General features: G+C 41.9%; 1 protein-coding gene and 1 long non-coding RNA gene across 6 annotated transcripts in view, besides 2 other annotated features; one reads left to right on the forward strand and one right to left on the reverse strand.

The window, feature by feature from the left end:
- Nucleotides 1–17,053, reverse strand: part of DNMBP (dynamin binding protein) — a 134,377-nt gene that overhangs the window by 98,456 nt on the left and 18,868 nt on the right. The window lies entirely within an intron of this gene.
- Nucleotides 7,746–10,081, forward strand: LOC124902490 (uncharacterized). Its single transcript, XR_007062266.1, has 2 exons — nt 7,746–7,905; nt 9,047–10,081. It is a non-coding gene; the product is annotated as an uncharacterized LOC124902490 (long non-coding RNA).
- Nucleotides 9,491–9,700: an enhancer, noted in NCBI's record as "active region_3874". NCBI's record gives its function as "activates an Ori minimal core promoter by ATAC-STARR-seq in GM12878 lymphoblastoid cells {active_cell/tissue: GM12878}" and the evidence as "EXISTENCE:reporter gene assay evidence [ECO:0000049][PMID:35858748]".
- Nucleotides 10,588–10,747: an enhancer, noted in NCBI's record as "active region_3875". NCBI's record gives its function as "activates an Ori minimal core promoter by ATAC-STARR-seq in GM12878 lymphoblastoid cells {active_cell/tissue: GM12878}" and the evidence as "EXISTENCE:reporter gene assay evidence [ECO:0000049][PMID:35858748]".

Below are 17,053 nucleotides of genomic sequence, written 5' to 3' on the forward strand. Positions count from 1 at the left end.
GCCTATAATCCTAGCACTTCGGGAGACTAAGGCTAGAGGATCAATTGCAGTCAGGAGTTCAAGACCAACGTGGGCAACACAGCACGACTTCACCTCTATTTTATAAAAAAAAAAGTTAGAAAAGTAAAAATCTGTAAGAAAGGAAGAAAGGACTATGTAGATGGCACCTCCAGACAAGATTTAGCATCCTATGCCAGATCAAGTATATGTTTTTGGTTCACAGAAGTCAGTGGCCCAACCCCGGGGAGTATCCTTGTACTGTTACGGTGTCTGTGCTGTAATAAGACGATGTGTCCATTACCTTGATGCATGTGGCTGGGGAACCTACGTATGTATTGAAGCAGCAGAAAGAGAGGACATAAGTAGTGGACATCCATCCCTCTGTAGACAATCAGCCTTGATGACAGCTACATTTCTCCCTAGGTCTCTTAAAGGAGCAGCTGAAGATCACCAGAGTATCCAGGCCTGAAATCTGTTTTTCTTTTCTTTTCTTTTTAGAGATGGGGTCTTGCTCTGTTGCCCAGGCTGGAGTGCAAAAATAGCTCACTGCAGCCTTGAACTCCTGGGCTCAAGTGATCCTCCTGCCTCAGCCTCCCAAGTACAAGTCTATTTTCAACCATCTCAAGTACTTATTTGGTCTTGGTAGAGATGAATGAGGACTCTACCTTCCATCTCACATACAACCATCATCACATCAAAAAGCATGAAGTGCCTAATTACAAAAAAAGAAAAGGTAGTGGTAGCTCTGTTAATTTTATTTATTTATGAGACAGGGTCCTATTCTGAGGCCCAGGCTGGAGAGCAGTGGCTCACCGTAGCCTCGATATCCAGGGCTCAAGCAATCTTCCCACCTCAGCCTCCTGGGTACATATGGCTACAGGTATGCATAACCATGCCCAGCTAATTTTTTTTGTACCTTTTTGTAGAGACAGGGTTTTACTATGTTGCCCAGGCTGGTCTCAAACTCCTGGGCCACCCACCTTGGCCTCCCAAAGTGCCAGGGGGTTACAGGGAGAAGCCACCATACCTGACCTCTGTTAATTTATAATCCAGCCAGGCACGGTGGCTCATGCCTGTAATCCCAGCACTTTGGGAGGCTGAGGCGGGTGGATCACCTGAGGTCAGGGAGCTCGAGACCAGCCTGACCAACATGGAGAAACCCCGTCTCTATTAAAATTACAAAATTAGCCAGGCGTGGTGGTGCATGCCTGTAATCCCAGCTACTCAGGAGGCTGAGGCAGGAGAATCACTTCAACCCAGGAGGCGGAGTTGCAGTGAGCCAAAATCGCACCATTGCACTCCAGCCTGGGCAACAAGAGCAAAACTATGTCTCAAAAAAAAAAAAAATTATATCCAAGAAAACACTGATGTGGATAAACATATTAGGCATATAATAAATCATTTAGTATATTAATATGGAGTACCTAGAAGATGTTAATAAATCATGCTACACAAACATTACCTATTTAATTTGTACTGTCAAGCAAAAGTAGGTTATCTTTGTGTTACTTATTATAGACTTTTTGTCTATAATAAGACGACTTGAGTCCACAGTGGAAAAGAGAAGTGGTAAGTGGGTATTTCCCACAGATGCTACTAACACATTTTCTCTAAGTATTACCAAAAAAAATCTAATTATAATTACATGCTGCAGAGGCAGCATATATGAATGTAAAGCACTAGGCTTCTGTAGTCAGAGAGACCCAGGTCCACAGGCCAGCTCCACTATTTATTAGCGATTTCACCTTGGACATCTTACTTAAACTCTCTGGGCTTCAGTTTCCTCATCCAGAAAAATGGAGATAATCATACTTTCATAATAACCATCAAGACTATTATAGTTATAACAGTGCCTAACATTCATTGAGTACTTCCTAGGTACATGCATTTACCATGTACTTCCCTGAGTCCTCGCAAGGACCCTATCATATGTTATTGGTTCCCATTTGGCAGGTGGGGACACGGGATCAGAGAGATGATAGCTGTCCAAGGTCACATAGTAAGTCAGAGGTGTAATGGGAACCCAAATCTGTCTGTCTCCAAAGCCTTAACCAGTATGCTAACAGTGTGAAAGCACCTAGGTCAGGGCTGGTATAGTAGCTGCTCAATAAACATTAGTCATTATTACAAAGCATCATTTCCATAATCAACTGCAAGCTCAAATTTGTGTCACTGATATAGCATCATCAGAGAATGTGCTATTTCAAACATATAAACTCTACGGAGCTTACCATTTCAACATGTCAAAACCTGGTTAACTTTGATTGTTTAAAAATAGACACACTCCAGACTTCCCTGACTTCTTTATTAGAAGACCTTGAACATGACTTACTCTTTGGCTGATGGGTCCAAGTTCATTATTAAGACTACACATTACTGTATTAAGCTGTGATACACAATACCAGCACTGTCTATCTTTTAGGCCTTTCTCTTTCAACGTCAGCCTACCCTCTGCTCTCCTCTGTCAACTTTTCCACGCCCTTGCTATATTGCTGTTTATGATCTGCTATGGAGGGGAGACCACACGCATACTACCAAAATTATGTAAAGTTCCTAGATAAATAAAAGTAAACAAGCTCTAAATGCGAGGCTAACAAACTCTACTGTGGTGGGAAAGGACACATGTTCGTGGTAGAGTTTTTCAACAGTTATTTTCATGTGCACTGAGGCCCCTTTCTTACTTTCTGGCTGTCTTCCAGAGGACTGAAGTTGCCAGATGTCAGATTTCCACATAAGGGTGGTGTCCTAAGTATTTTCTTAAAAAAAAAAACACCACACATAATGTCCTGCAAACTTCTTAGCCATCTAGATGTTTATGTTATTAAAACTATTCCTTAACCTTCGGCCAAATTAGATACTATTTTTCTTCTTATACTACATTTTCTCAGATTTCATCTATCAGACTAGATATATCTAATTATCTAAAATATCAAGTAAAGAATTAGCATAAACCCCATATAATTACTTAGAGAACTACCCCATTACACAAAGGGAGTAATGCTTGTAATCTGAAAGAGTTAAAGCTTCTCCCAGAGAACCTTTTCACTCTACCAGAAAATGACTCAGAAGCAGAGGAGAATCTGGCTCAATAAATACTTTTACTGACTGACCTCCTACTCCATTGGAATGAGTGCATAATCACTGAGGAGCACACACCCTAGAAGGGTACTGAAGTCACGGCCTCGCTAAATTACATGATTCATGTGTGAGACCCAAAAGTATGTATAATATGACGAATCTCATCTGTCTTCTCTGCCCTGTATACCCTATGAAAAGCAGCTACTCTTATTCATGCCAGGGCCATTTTAGAAGCCTGAGCATATATTTTGAAACAATCATAAATGGCTTCTATAAGCTGTTCCACCAACTCCAGATAGAAGTAAAAAGAACTGCAGAGGAAATCAGAACACAGATGGGCTTGAGAGAACACCGAGGAAATTACTGCTTATATGGCATGATTTCAGGGACAGCAGAAAAATTTGCTATGAAAACACCATCTTCTTCCCTTGCTGGTGAACGCCTATCTTTCCACCTTTAGGGAGTCATTCTGCATTTGAAATATAGATATATTTGGAAAGAAAATTCTTCAAACCCTTTTAGAATGTAAACTCTGTGAAGGAAGAGATTTATTTCATTCACTGGTCTACAGCAGTGCCTGGCACATAAAATATTTTCAGATTTTTGATGAACAAACGATTTGTTGAAGTTTGGGAAAATATATGAAACTCTTTTTTTATTCTTATCTTTTAAAAATTTTTTTCCAATAATCCAACCTGTCACAATATATGAAACTATTCATATCAAAATCTCAAGTTTTACTTACCTAAAACTAAATTAACCATCTCTTCCCCAAAAATAGTTTTACCTTCCAGCTTGTCTATCTATGTATGGCACTGGCAACAGTGCCATAGCAATGTCATAGAAATCTTCCAGGTCAAGCATTAATGTCTTGGACTTCTTCATCCTCTATGGCAGACGGTACACTAAGAACAACAGCTATTGTATGATTATCTACCAAGTGTCAGACACTGATCTAGGAGCTTAAATCCTCACGACTCCGCAAGGTAGACAGCAAGTCTCCAAAGCCAGGGTGCCTGCATTCCAATCCCAGCACCACCACTGAGCAATTTACTCAATCTCTTTAGCTGACAAATAGCTAAACCAGAACCCGAATTCAGGCCTGTTTGATTCCCATGCCCACGTTCTTTTTATGGCAAACATCACTTTTCTTAAACTTCATTGGTTCTTCCTTCAACATCCTCTAGACTTCCATTTTTCTGTTTCTCCAACATTTAACTATGAAAATTTTCAAACAGTGAGGTTGAAAGAATTTTACACCCACCACCTAGATTCTAGCATTAACATCTTACTGCAGTTACTTTATCACATATTATCTATCCCTTTATTCGTTTATCAATTTGTGTTATTTTTTGGATGCATTTCAAATATATATATTTTTTATTTTGATGCACTTCAAAATAAATCATAAACATTTCCCACCAAACTCTGACATATATATCTTAACTAGAGTCCAATATTTGTTTACGGTTTTTGTTGTTGTTGTTTTCTTTTTTGAGACAGGGTCTCTGTCACCTAGGCTACAGTGCAGTGGCGTGATCTTGGCTTACTCTAACCTCTGCCTCCCAGACTCAGGTGATCATCCCACCTCAGCCTCCTGAATATCTGCGATCACAGGTGTGTACCACCACACCTGGCTAATTTATTTACAGAGGTGAGGTTTTGCCATGTTGCCCAGGCTGGTGGTCTTGAACTCCTCAACTCAGGTGCTCTGCCCTCCTCGGCCTCCCAAATTGCTGGGATTACAGGCGTGAGCCACCACGCCTGGCCAGCAGTTTTTTTTTATTTTTGTTTTTTTAAAGTACCTTTTTCCTCTCCCTACTGGCCAAGGAATTACAAATTCTGGATTTTAACAGAATTGCAGTTCTGTTTTCCCCACTAAAATGGCAGTAAATCTGATTAATCTTTCTAAAATGTCAATTTATATATATAACACAGTTGGATGAGAATTTACAGGTCCTCCTATTTTCTATAATTCATACATTCAATGAATATTTATCAAGCCAAATGGCATCAACCAAAGCCCTATGCAAACTAAAAATCTGGCTTGACTGGGTAAGCTAATCATTTGATGACCCTTCACCCAACATTCTAGGTATTTATTCTCTAATCCTGTTGGTGGCGGACAGTAGCGTTTAGAGTCTCCTCTATTGTCCTAAGCAATTCAACTCCTATCACCAAGTATCTACCCAACTGGGAAAAAAATAAAGCCCGAGCACTAATCTCAAAAGGAGACACTCACTCAGTCTTACCCATTCAATGTGGGGGTCGGGGAAGGACTCAAATCTGCAGTGACTTTTTTTGTGCCTCAAGGATATTTTAATACTTTCTATGGACTAAAGCCTTTGGCAGTTACCTATTAATCCAGCTTTGCTCCAATGATGTGTCCAGGAACCTTCCTGGTGTTGTGTGGGAGATAAGTTATAGTCCCTGCACCCAAGAAGCTTAGTTTAGTCCCCACCAATTCCCAAAACATGTTCTGAGGACGCTAATCTTTGTGCTCCAAGACACAAGAGCTCCATGATCATGATAAACTCCAGGAAGGCTATAAACCATATTTCCTTCTTAGAGGAGCATTTTAAAATTAGCATATTAAAGACTGAAACAATTTGGCAAGAATCCTTTTCAATCTGGCATTTCTAAACTTGTCTGGCCACAGCACGCCGTTTTCAGGCCCCACTTCAGATTTGTGTAACCTTGTCCCACTCCACTTGTCATTCATAAATAATATTCAGGGCAGTCCCATCCAAACGAAATGTCTCAGCTCCCATAAGGCACTGTCCGCTCAGAACTTGTTTTTTGGTTTACTGCTGTTTATTTCCTCCATGGTCAGTCCCACATATTTAAACACTTTCCACACCTGGAGTACTTCCCCCAAATGATGCCACCTCTCCTGCTCAGGTCCACTCATTTGCCATGTCTTAAGTCCTGCAGCCCTTGCTCTTATATCAACCATCTTGCAGATTTGTGAGACATTGGACTGGACATGTAAAAGTTAAAAGCCATGAGAGTAAATGTATCAGAGAAAACATATTCAGAAATAAAATTTACAATGTAGAGCTGGGTGCGGTGGCTCAGGCCTGTAATCTCAGCACTTTGGGAGGCTGAGGCAGGCGGATCATCCGAGGTCAGGAGTTCAAGACAAGCCTGGCCAACGTGGCGAAACCCTATCTCTACTAAAAATACAAAAAAATTAGCCAAGTGTGGTGATGCATGCCTACAATCCCAGCTACTCAAGAGGCTGAGGCAGGAGAATCGTTTGAACCCAGAAGGCAGAGGTTGCAGTGAGCCAAGATTGGGCCACTGCACTCCAGCCTGGGCAACAGAGTAAGACTCCGTCTCAAAAAAAAAAAAAAAAAGTTACAATATGTATCACTGTAAAGTGCTACAACACAGATGAACCTTGAAGACATTAAGCTAAGGCTGGCCTCAGTGGCTAATGCCTGTAATCTTAGCACTCTGGGAGACCAAGAGGAGAGGATCACTTGAGCCCAGAAGGGCAACATAGTGAGAACCCAACTCTACAAAAAATTAGAATTAAAAAAAAAAAAATAGCTGGGCGCAGTGGCAGGTGCCTATAGTCTCAGCTATTCAGGAAGCTGAGGTGGGAGGGTTGCTTGAGCCCAGGAGATTGAGGCTGCCATGAACAGTGTTTGTGCCACTCATTCCAGCCTGAGCCACAGAGTGAGACCCTGTCTTAAAAAAAAAGATATTAAGCTAAGTGAAATCTGCCAGACACAAAAGGACAAATACTGCATGAATGAGGTACACAGAGGGGTCAAATTCATAAGAGATTAAAAGCTGAATGGTGGTTGCCAGGGGGTAGGGGCGAGAAGAGGAGATAGGGAGTTAGTATGTAATGGGTACAGCATTTCAGTTTAGGAAGATAAAAAAAGTTCTGGAGATGAATGGTAGTAATGGTTGAAAAGCAATGTGAATTACTTAATGCCACAAAACTGTAAACTTAAAAATGGTTAAAATGGTAAATTTTATGTTATGTACACTTACCACAATAAAAAAAAATTTTAAGGTATGTCATAAAACGTGAATGTGAAAGAAGGCCTGGAGGACTCAGTAATGTTTATTTTATTTTTTGAGACGGAGTCTAGCTCTGTTGCCCAGACTGGAGTGCAGTGGCTCAATCTCAGCTCACTGCAACCTTCACCTCCTGGGCTCAAGTAACTCTCGTGCCTCAGCCTCCTGAGTAGCTGGGATTACAGGTATGCACCACCACACCCAGCTAATTTTTGTATTTCTAGTAGAGATGGGGTTTCACCTTGTTGGCCAGGCTTGTCTCAAACTCCTGGCCTCAAGTGATCTGCCCGCCTTGGCCTCTCAAAGAGCTGGGATTACAGGTATGAGCCACTGTGCCTGGCCAGTAATTTTTATTAAGCAACATATCTTCAAGTCTGGACATACTTCATTAAAAAATCTCCTGAGATCACAAACTATAAACTTTTACCCTGATAGACACCGATATCAAACAGTTTAATAAGTAATTTCTAATGTGGCCTTTGGAATCAAAGTCTGAACTTGGCACAGATTGAGGATACCGAAAATCTGCCCTTTCAGGTCTGCCCCAGCCTACCCTGTGTTCCCGGAGGCTGGCCCACCAGAACTGAACAAGGCCTCCCCCATCTCTGGCTTTCAGTTGGGTTCAGCCAATGGATGGCACTGGCAGGAGGTCTGAAGGCAGAGGGACAGTGAGATTGTGATATTTACTCCCCTGGCTCTCTCCCTGCTGGGTTGTGAGTTGGCTGCGTTGCTCTATTAAACACCACAGCTACCATATGAAGACCTCCTCAAAACAGCTTTCTCTTGCATCAGGTAACCATTCCATCCCCCACCTCTTCAGGAGCAGGGTGGCTCTCCAGCTAGCCGTGACATATGGTACAATCCTTTGTTATTTTCCCTAAACTTCTCCATTCTGCTTTAAGTTGGACCTCTTCCAATTACCCAATTTGAGTGTGCCTTCTGTTTTCTGCTGGGCCCCTGAGTGATACACGCCCAAAAGGATGACTTGGATTTATGAGAACAACACATGAAAAGAATGGGGATGGCTAGGCGCAGTGGCTCACACCTATAATCCCAGCACTTTGGGAGGCAGAGGAGGGTGGATTGCTTGAGCCCAGGAGCTCGAGACCAGCCTGGGCAACATGGTGAAATCCTGTCTCTATAAAAACACAAAAATTAGCTGGGCGTGGTAGTGCACGCCTGTAGTCCCAGCTACTGGGGAGGCTGAGGTGGGAGGATAACTTGAGCCCAGGAAGTGGAGGCTGCAGTGAGCCTAGATCGTGCTACTGCAATCCAGCCTGGGCAACAGAGCGAGACCCTGTCTCAAAAAATAAATAAATAAATAAATAATAAAATAAAATAAAGAATTGAGCAAAGTATATGGAAAACTATAAAAATAGTTCCCTAAATCCACCATTCTAAATCCAGGTGAGAGGTAAGCACTGGAGACATACATTTTGAAGGTTTAAAAAAAATTTAGAAAAATATTAATGCCTGGGTTCCCTGTACTCCCCTAAATTAGTCAGTATATTCTTTCAAAAAGCACTGGTGAGGCTGGGCACGGTGGCTCACGCCTGTAATCCCAGCACTTTGGGAGGCCAAGACAGGCAGATCCCTTGGGCCCAGGAGTTCGAGTCCAGACTGGGCAACATGGCAAAACCCTGTCTCTACAAAAATATAAAAATTAGCTGGACGTGGTGGTGAACACCTGTGGTTCCAGCTACTCAGGGCGGGGGTATGGGGGAGCAGCTCTGAGGTGGCATTGCTTGAACCTGGGAAGTGGAGGTTGCAGCAAGCTGATCGCACTACTGCACTCCAGCCTGTGCAACAGAGCGAGACCCTGCCAAAAAAAAAAAAATTCAAATTCTGGGGTCCCAGAACAAAACTTCTGAAGGGGTTTCCTTAACTGAAAGACAAAAAACAGCTGTCTCTCCTTTCTTGCTTACTCTACCAGGAGAGACTGCCTACCTGGGAAGAGCTGGGAAAGAGATTCCCTTTCTGTAGGGGCAGTCCAGCGGAGGTTCCTTCAAAAGAATATGCTTCCATGAGCATCCTTATGTTTTGGAACTGCTTTCCAGAAAACATTACCTTTTGGGAACGAGAATCCATTTAAAAAATCTCAGGTCCCAGCAATGAGAAGGAATATCTAACCTTAAAAGCAACTGCACATTTCTCTTGTCCTTGACAATACAAGAGCTCATACAAGACAACACGAAGGCTAAATGAGTAATTTTTTCCCTTCGCATGAAAGGACGAGAGGTGTCAGAAAATGAAGTCTAAATCTGCTTCAGGAAGGAAGGAAATGAGAGAAGCTAGGAAAACAGCACTTCCTCCTATGGTTTATGTCGCTGGAGTTCACTCTGGACAGAAGGTCAGCAGTCACAGCCAGGTTCCTCAGAGATTCTTCAGATAACTAGCAACAGATGAGGGAAAAGCAGGACCCCTCTTGGCCGCAGCATCCCCACATGGCTGAGAAGCACGGCCTGGGCCATCTGCTCTTCAACAGCGGCCTCCTACCCTGCGTGCCCCCAGGACCGCAGCACTGACTCACCACACGGACTCTGGTTCCACAGGGTACAGAATGTCGAACTGGAAGAACAAATGAAAACCCTGCGCTGGCTTAGGTGAGCTGACCAGAGAAACTAGGGTAGGAAAGTAAAGGAATCTGCTGTCCTATACCGTCTGAAACTACTTATATTGCAACACTTTGCTGATTTCAAACTTGGCCCAAGTTGGAAGGCAACAACTCCAGATGGAACAGGATACATGTCAGAGTTTCCACCAATCGTGGAAGGCCGCCTCAGTCCTTCTCAGGATTTAAACTGAGCAACCCTTATCTAAACCACCCGAACACTTCTATAAATTTTTTTTGTTTTACGAAAGACAGAATTTAAAATAAGAAAGCTTCAGGATTGACTCTCACAGTACAGTAGTTTTAACTAATTTACAGCGTCTACGCCACCCATATTAAACTGCTGTTTTCCTTCCATTTTTAGCTCTTTTTTTAAAAAATTACTTCTATATCTCCACATCAGTTTTGTCTTTTTAATGAAACTGCACTGGTGGAGGGAGGTCCCAAGATTAATATTTCAGGACCTACAAAGTTTGAGGAAATTTACATTCAAGAAATATTTTCAAATGGGTTAACCTAGGAGTTCCTAAGTATCCTCTCAGACTCACATTTCTTAAATAATGCATGAATCTCAATTATGGGTGGAAATTTAAGAACCACTGACTCATAACTAAATAAACTGGACATGTCAGAGCTAAGTAGCTGAGCAACATATTAAAATTAACAGCTCCACTATGTTGCAGATGTAATACACATGACAGCAGTTACAGACGTGCAGATTAAGTGAAACTATAAAGTGAAACTTTAGGGTGTGGCTATAGATAACAAAGAACACAATAAACGTGTAAAAACACGCAGTTTTTAAGACAGTTTCCAGAAGACACTAAGAAAATTTATTAACCCAGTGTTCCAAGTTGTGAGGACAAATGTTAGTGAGATCTGCAAGGCAGGCATCTTGTTTCTTTTTCTTATCTGTTTCAAGCACAAACTTGTGTTTCTGCTACAGAAGATTTAAAAAGACATGAGGAATTTCTCTACCTTTCAACCTATTTTTTTTGACACAGGGTCTCACTCTGTTGCCCAGGCTAGAGTGCAGTGATGATCACGGCTCACTGCAGCCTTGACCTCCCAGGCTAAAGTGATTCTCCCACCTTAGCCTCACAAGTAGTTGGAACTACAGGCATGTGCCCCCACACCCAGATAATGAATTTACAAATTTTTCCCTTTTTTGTGTACAGACAGGATTTCATCATGTTGCCCAGGCTGGTCTTGAACTCGTGAGTTCAAGCAATCCTCCAGCCTCAGCTTCTCAAAAGTGCTGGGATTACAAGCATGAGCCACTGTGCCTGGCCTCAACCTATTTTAAGGTATAAAATATTCTTGATATTTTGGAAGAAAAATCAGGAAAAGAATTTAGAAAACTGAAGATTCTGAGGAAGAAAAATTGGGAGGAAACAAACTGTCCAATTGGAGTTAAAAATAGCTAAGATCATTAGCAGGGTAGGTGATTTTAGATCATTTTAAGGAGTACCAACATTTGAGCACCATGGAAAACCAGGGACGAGCAGCTTTACACAAACAACAACAAAAACTGCAGTACTGCTTGCCTTTTATAGAAACTACAGCCACTATACTTGAAAATAAAATGTATATATAATTTCAAGATGAACCAGAGAATATGCCACAACACGGCAAACCCAATGAATGGCTGATTCTTTAGATGGTGTCAAAAGAACTCAGTGTCCTTCTTTTTTTGAGTCAGGGTCTCGCTCAGCCACCCAGGGGAGAGTACCTACCTGGGAAGAGCTGGGAAAGGGGTTCCCTTTTTGTAGGGGCTGTCAGGTGGAGGTTCCTTCAAAAGAATATGCTTCCACGAGCATCCTTATGTCTTGGAACTGAACTCTCCAGTTAACATTACCTTTTGGGAATGAGAATCCATTTAAAAAATCTCAAGTCCCAGCAATGAGAAGGAATATCTAACCTTAAAAGCAACTGCACATTTCTCTTGTCCTTGACAATACAAGAGCTCATACAAGACAACACGAAGGCTAAATGAATAATTTCTTCTCTTTGTATGAAAGGATGAGAGGTGTCAGAAAGTGAAGTCTGGAGTGCAGTGACGCAATCTCAGCTCACTGCAACCTCTGCCTCCTGCACTCAAGTGATCCTCCTGCCTCAGCCTCCCATGTAGCTGGGACCACAGGCATGCACCACTATGCCTGGCTAATTTTTTATATTTTTTGTAGAGACGGGTTTCATCATGTTGGCCAGGCTGGTCTCAAACTCCTGAGCTCAAGCAATCCGCCTGCCTCGCCCTCTTGAAGTGCTGGAATTACAGGTGTGAGCCACGGTGCCTGGCCTCTCAATGTCCTAGATGTTCAAGCCTTTTTTCCCTCTCTAAGTCACAGAGGATATACATCTTTCTTATCCATTCAAGAAAGCAAAGGGGAATGTTCATGAGTAAAGTTAATGCTATTTCATGGAAAATCTTGACCCACATTAATTTATTAAAGTTCTGATTTAAAATGTTAGTTCTTAGCCAGATGCAGTGGTGTGTCCCTATAATTCCAGTTCTTTGGGAGGCCAAGGTGGGAGGGTTGCTTGAGGCCAGGAGTTCATGTCCAGCCTGGGCAACATAGTGAGACCCCATCTCTGGAAAAAAAAATTTAGTTCAGAGACTAACAGTATTTCCATGATATGTTCTGGTAAAGGACGGCTGCCCTTCACAAAAGCAAGGGAGAATTTATTTGGTGGGAAATGTGCCAAAATGATTCCAATTACTTTAAGCTGAATTTTGAAAAAGAGAAAAGAAAAAGTACAAAGCCCCAGATATAAAACTGCAAGGCGTGAGCTGAGATCGTGCCACTGTACTCCAGCCTGGGAGACAGAGCAAGACTCCGTCTCAAAAAAAAAAAAAAAAAAAAAAAAAAAAAAACCTGCAAGGCAGGATAATATGCAGGATAATATTTAATGAAGAAAACGGACAACAAACGCAAGTGAGCTTGAAACAATCAGAGGTTAGGACATCCATACAGTATATCAAGGCCCAGAGTATGAGCAACAAAGTGAGGCTGAAATTATAATACAACAAAGTAAAAACAGTCTATGACTCTTGAGGTATGTTAGAACTCATCCCAAAATTCAACAGTGGGAAGGTTCACTTCATGTAAAAGAAATCTCTAAGGCCGGGCACGTGGCTCACACCTATAATCCCAGCACTTTGGGAGGCCGAGGCGGGCGGATCACGAGGTCAGGAGATCGAGACCATCCTGGCTAACACGGTGAAACCCCGTCTCTACTAAAAATACAAAAAAATTAGCCGGGTGTGGTGGCGGGCACCTGTAGTCCCAGCTACTCGGGAGGCTGAGGCGGGAGAATGGCATGAACCCGGGAGGTGGAGCTTTCAGTGAGCTGAGATCGCGCCACTGCACTCTAGCCTGGGCGACAGAGCAAGACTCCATCTCAAAAAAAAAAAAAAAGAAATCTCTAACAGGAGATGGGGGCACTAACATGACATGTAAAGAAAATAAGACCAGGCAGGGTGGCTCATGCTTGTAATCCGAGCATTCTGGGAGGCCGAGGCTAGGATCACTTGAGGCTAGGAGCTAGAAACCAGCCTGGGCAACATAGTGAGATCTCATCTCCACAACAAATAAATAAGAAAAAGAAAATAATATATCCACATGAAAACCCATGAATCTGGGGATAAAACATTACGAAGAGTAGCTGGGATAAGATAAGAGTAGCTGGGATAAGGGAGAGGCTGGGTGCAGTGGTTCACGCCTGTAATCCTAGCACTTTGGGAGTCCAAGGCAGGTGGATCACCTGAGGTCAGGAGTTCGAGACCAACATGGCCAACATGGCAAAACCCTGTCTCTACTAAAAATATAAAAATTAGCTGGGCATGATGGTGTGCACCTGTAGTCCCAGCTACTTGGGAGCTGAGGCAGGAGGATCACTTGAACCCAGGGGAGGTGGAGGTTGCAGTGAGCTGAGATCATGCCACTGCACTCCTGCCTTGGCAACAGAGTAAGACCCCATGTCAAAAAAAAAAAAAGATGAAAGGAGAAAGAAACAGGTGGGAGATTTATATTACAGACTGCTATGAGAGAGAACAAAAAGGATATTTTAATAATATTACAAAATTGATACAGAAACTAACAGTAGCATGTGGTAGTTGATATAAACTGGACTACTAACTTCCTAACAATTAGCAAATGCATATGATCACAGGTCGATTAATTAACTATGTCCTAGAGACTCCACAGACTTTTGCGGGGCCATCTAGGCAGTTAGCATGTCTGATCATTGGGATTCCTGCTCAGAGGCAGGCGGGGGAAATAGTTCACAACTTCACACCAGTTCTGCAGTGTTTCATTTTGCTTAATAAAAAAAAAAATCATGAATAGTTGTTGAATTTTATCAAATGCTTTTCCTGCGTCCAATGAGATGACCATTTTCCCCCTTTATTCTGATGTCATAAGTTTAAATGTTAAATCAACCTTGCATTCCTGGGATAAATTCTACTTGCTTATGATGTATTATCCTCTTTAGAGACTTCAATTTTCAATTTGGTACTTTTTTGTTACAGATTTTTACACCTGTGCTCTCAAGGGTTATTAGTCTATAACTCCCTTTTCTTTAAATGTCCTTGTCAGATTTGCATATAAGGGTTAGTCTTGCTCTGTTCGTGCCTGGCCCACTGGGTACAGGAAAGGAAGAAGGGCTCCAATGATACCTAAAATTAAGTTTTCCAATAGCCAGGTAGAGGGGAGCTTAGAATAGGTAAAATGAGATTAGATAAGTAAATATCTAATGTCTTTACACCATAGTGTTATGAATTAGAATTCATACTAGCAACACTGAAACGAGACAAAGATCAGTGCATCATTTAACCACCATAATTCACAATTTGTCCCCACTCCTCTAGCAATATCTTGATATCTCTGACAATTTTATTTTTATTTTTATTTATTTATTTATTTATTTGAGACGGAGTCTTGCTCTGTCACCCAGGCTGGAGTGCAGTGGTTCAATCTTGGCTCACTGCAACCTCTGCCTCCTGGGTTCAAGTGACTCTCCTGCCTCAGCCTCCCGAGGAGCTGGGACTACAGGCATGAACCACCATACCCGGCTAATTTTTGTATTTTTAGTAGAGATGGGGTTTTACCATGTTGGCCAGGCTGGTCTCAAACTCCTGATCTCAAGTGATTTGTCTGCCTCGGCCTCCCAAAAGTGCTGAGATTATGGGCGTGAGCCACTGCACCCAGCCAACTTTTAGCCCTTTCTATACCCATGTCCATTCACCTCTATATTCAAACTTTTTCAGCTACTTCTTATTCTTATAATATATACGCTAGTAGACAGAACTGCTATTCAATAATCCTCACCCTCTTGTAGGAATTATATATCCTTACAAGATGTGTAATTATATGTGTATAATAATGTATATCATTATGTATATCATTAATAGTATACAAATATAGAATTGCATATCCATACCCTTTACTGTGTAATCATGCAGTGCCTCCCACTACAGGCAGAGTATGTTTCCCTGTCACATTTTGGTAGGACTTGGAGTGGAGTGGAGATGGCATAAGCACAGGCTTTCAGCCATTATTTTATGGTTTGGCCTGTCCTCTGGTGCTCCTGTAATCTGCCATTAGAAGAGCATGCCCTGAAAGCCCCTGGCTCTTTAGCCTGGGCCCCAGAATGAAGACAAGAAAAAACAGACTTGAGGCCAGGCGCAGTGGCTCACGCCTGTAATCCCAGCACTTTGGGAGGCTGAGGCAGGTGGATCATCTGAGGTCAAGAATTCGAGACCAGCCTAGCCAAGAAGGTGAAGCCCCATCTCTACTAAAAATACAAAAATTAGCCAGGTGTGGTGGTGGGCACCTGTGATCCCAGCTATTTGGGACACTGAGACAGGAGAATCACTTGAACCTGGGAGGCGGAGGTTGCAGTGAGCCGAGATCGCGCCATCGCACTCCAGCCTGGGCAACAAGAGCGAAACTCTGTCTCAAAAAAAAGAAAAAACAGACTTGAACCCAAATGGAAGACTATAGGATTCAACCTAGTCTAGCTCAGATCAGCTAAACTGCTATGTACCCCCTCTTCTATTAAACTGCTATGTACCCCCTCTTCTATTAAACTGCTATGTACCCCCTCTTCTATTAAACTGCCCCCTCTTCTATTAAACCCATACATAACTCTTACCATCTGAGTTAACTATTCTCTTTTGGATCCATCCCTGTTTCCTGTATGTCCTACAGGGCAGGGATTCTTTTTGTCTATTTTATTCACTGATGTCAATCAAGCACCTAGAGTTCTGCCTGATACACAGTAAGCCCTCCGTAAATATTTGCATGATGAATGGTTTAACATACTGAACTGTCTTAATTTATACATCAAAACGTACATTCACATTCCCAGTGATCACACTATTCTTTCCCACAGAGGTACATGAGGTTTCACAGGACTTATTTCCAGGTTAGGAAGGTTGGGTTTTGTTTTTTGGGCAATTAGCGGCACCTGAAGATTTTTTAGTAGGCAGATACAATGGTTAAAATTAGGATTGGCTGGCTAGGCGTGGTGGCTCATGCCTGTAATCCCAGCACTTTGAGAGGCTAAGGTGGGCAGATGGCTTGAGCTCAGGAGTTTGAGACCAGTCTGGGCAACATGGTGAAACTCATCTCTACTGAAAATACAAAAATTAGCTGGGCATGGTGGCGTGCAACCATAGTCCCAGCTACTCGGGAGGCTGAGGTGGGAGGATGGCTTCCACCCAGGAGGCAGAGGTTGCAGTGAGCTGAGATACACCACTGCACTCCGGCCTGGGTGACAAAGCCAGATCCTGTCTCAAAAAAAAAAATAAAAAATAGGATTGGTTGCAAATGACTAAACACCCCAAATTAATGAATAAAAAAAAAAAAAAGGACAAGAAAGACAGTGTGTGTATAAGTGTATATATATACACACATATACATATATACACACATATATATACACACACATATATACACACATATACACACAAATATACATATATATGCACATGTATATACACATATATACACATATATACACATATATACACACATATATACACACATATATACACATATATATATATACACATATACATATACACACACACACACACATATATATATATATATATAGCTTTTTCCAGGTGAAGGCAAAGATATTCTAAGCAACATCATTATTCTGGTTGTTTCTCTTCATCTCATTTTTTAAAAACAGGTTTATTGAGACATAATTCACATACTATACAATTCACCCATTTAAAGTGTACAATGAGTTTTTAGCATATTCAGAGTTGTGTGACCATTATCACTATCAATTTTAGAACTTCAAAACCTCATAAAG

The sequence above is a fragment of the Homo sapiens genome, chromosome 10 (assembly GCF_000001405.40).
Source record: "Homo sapiens chromosome 10, GRCh38.p14 Primary Assembly".
Lineage (NCBI taxonomy): Eukaryota > Metazoa > Chordata > Mammalia > Primates > Hominidae > Homo > Homo sapiens.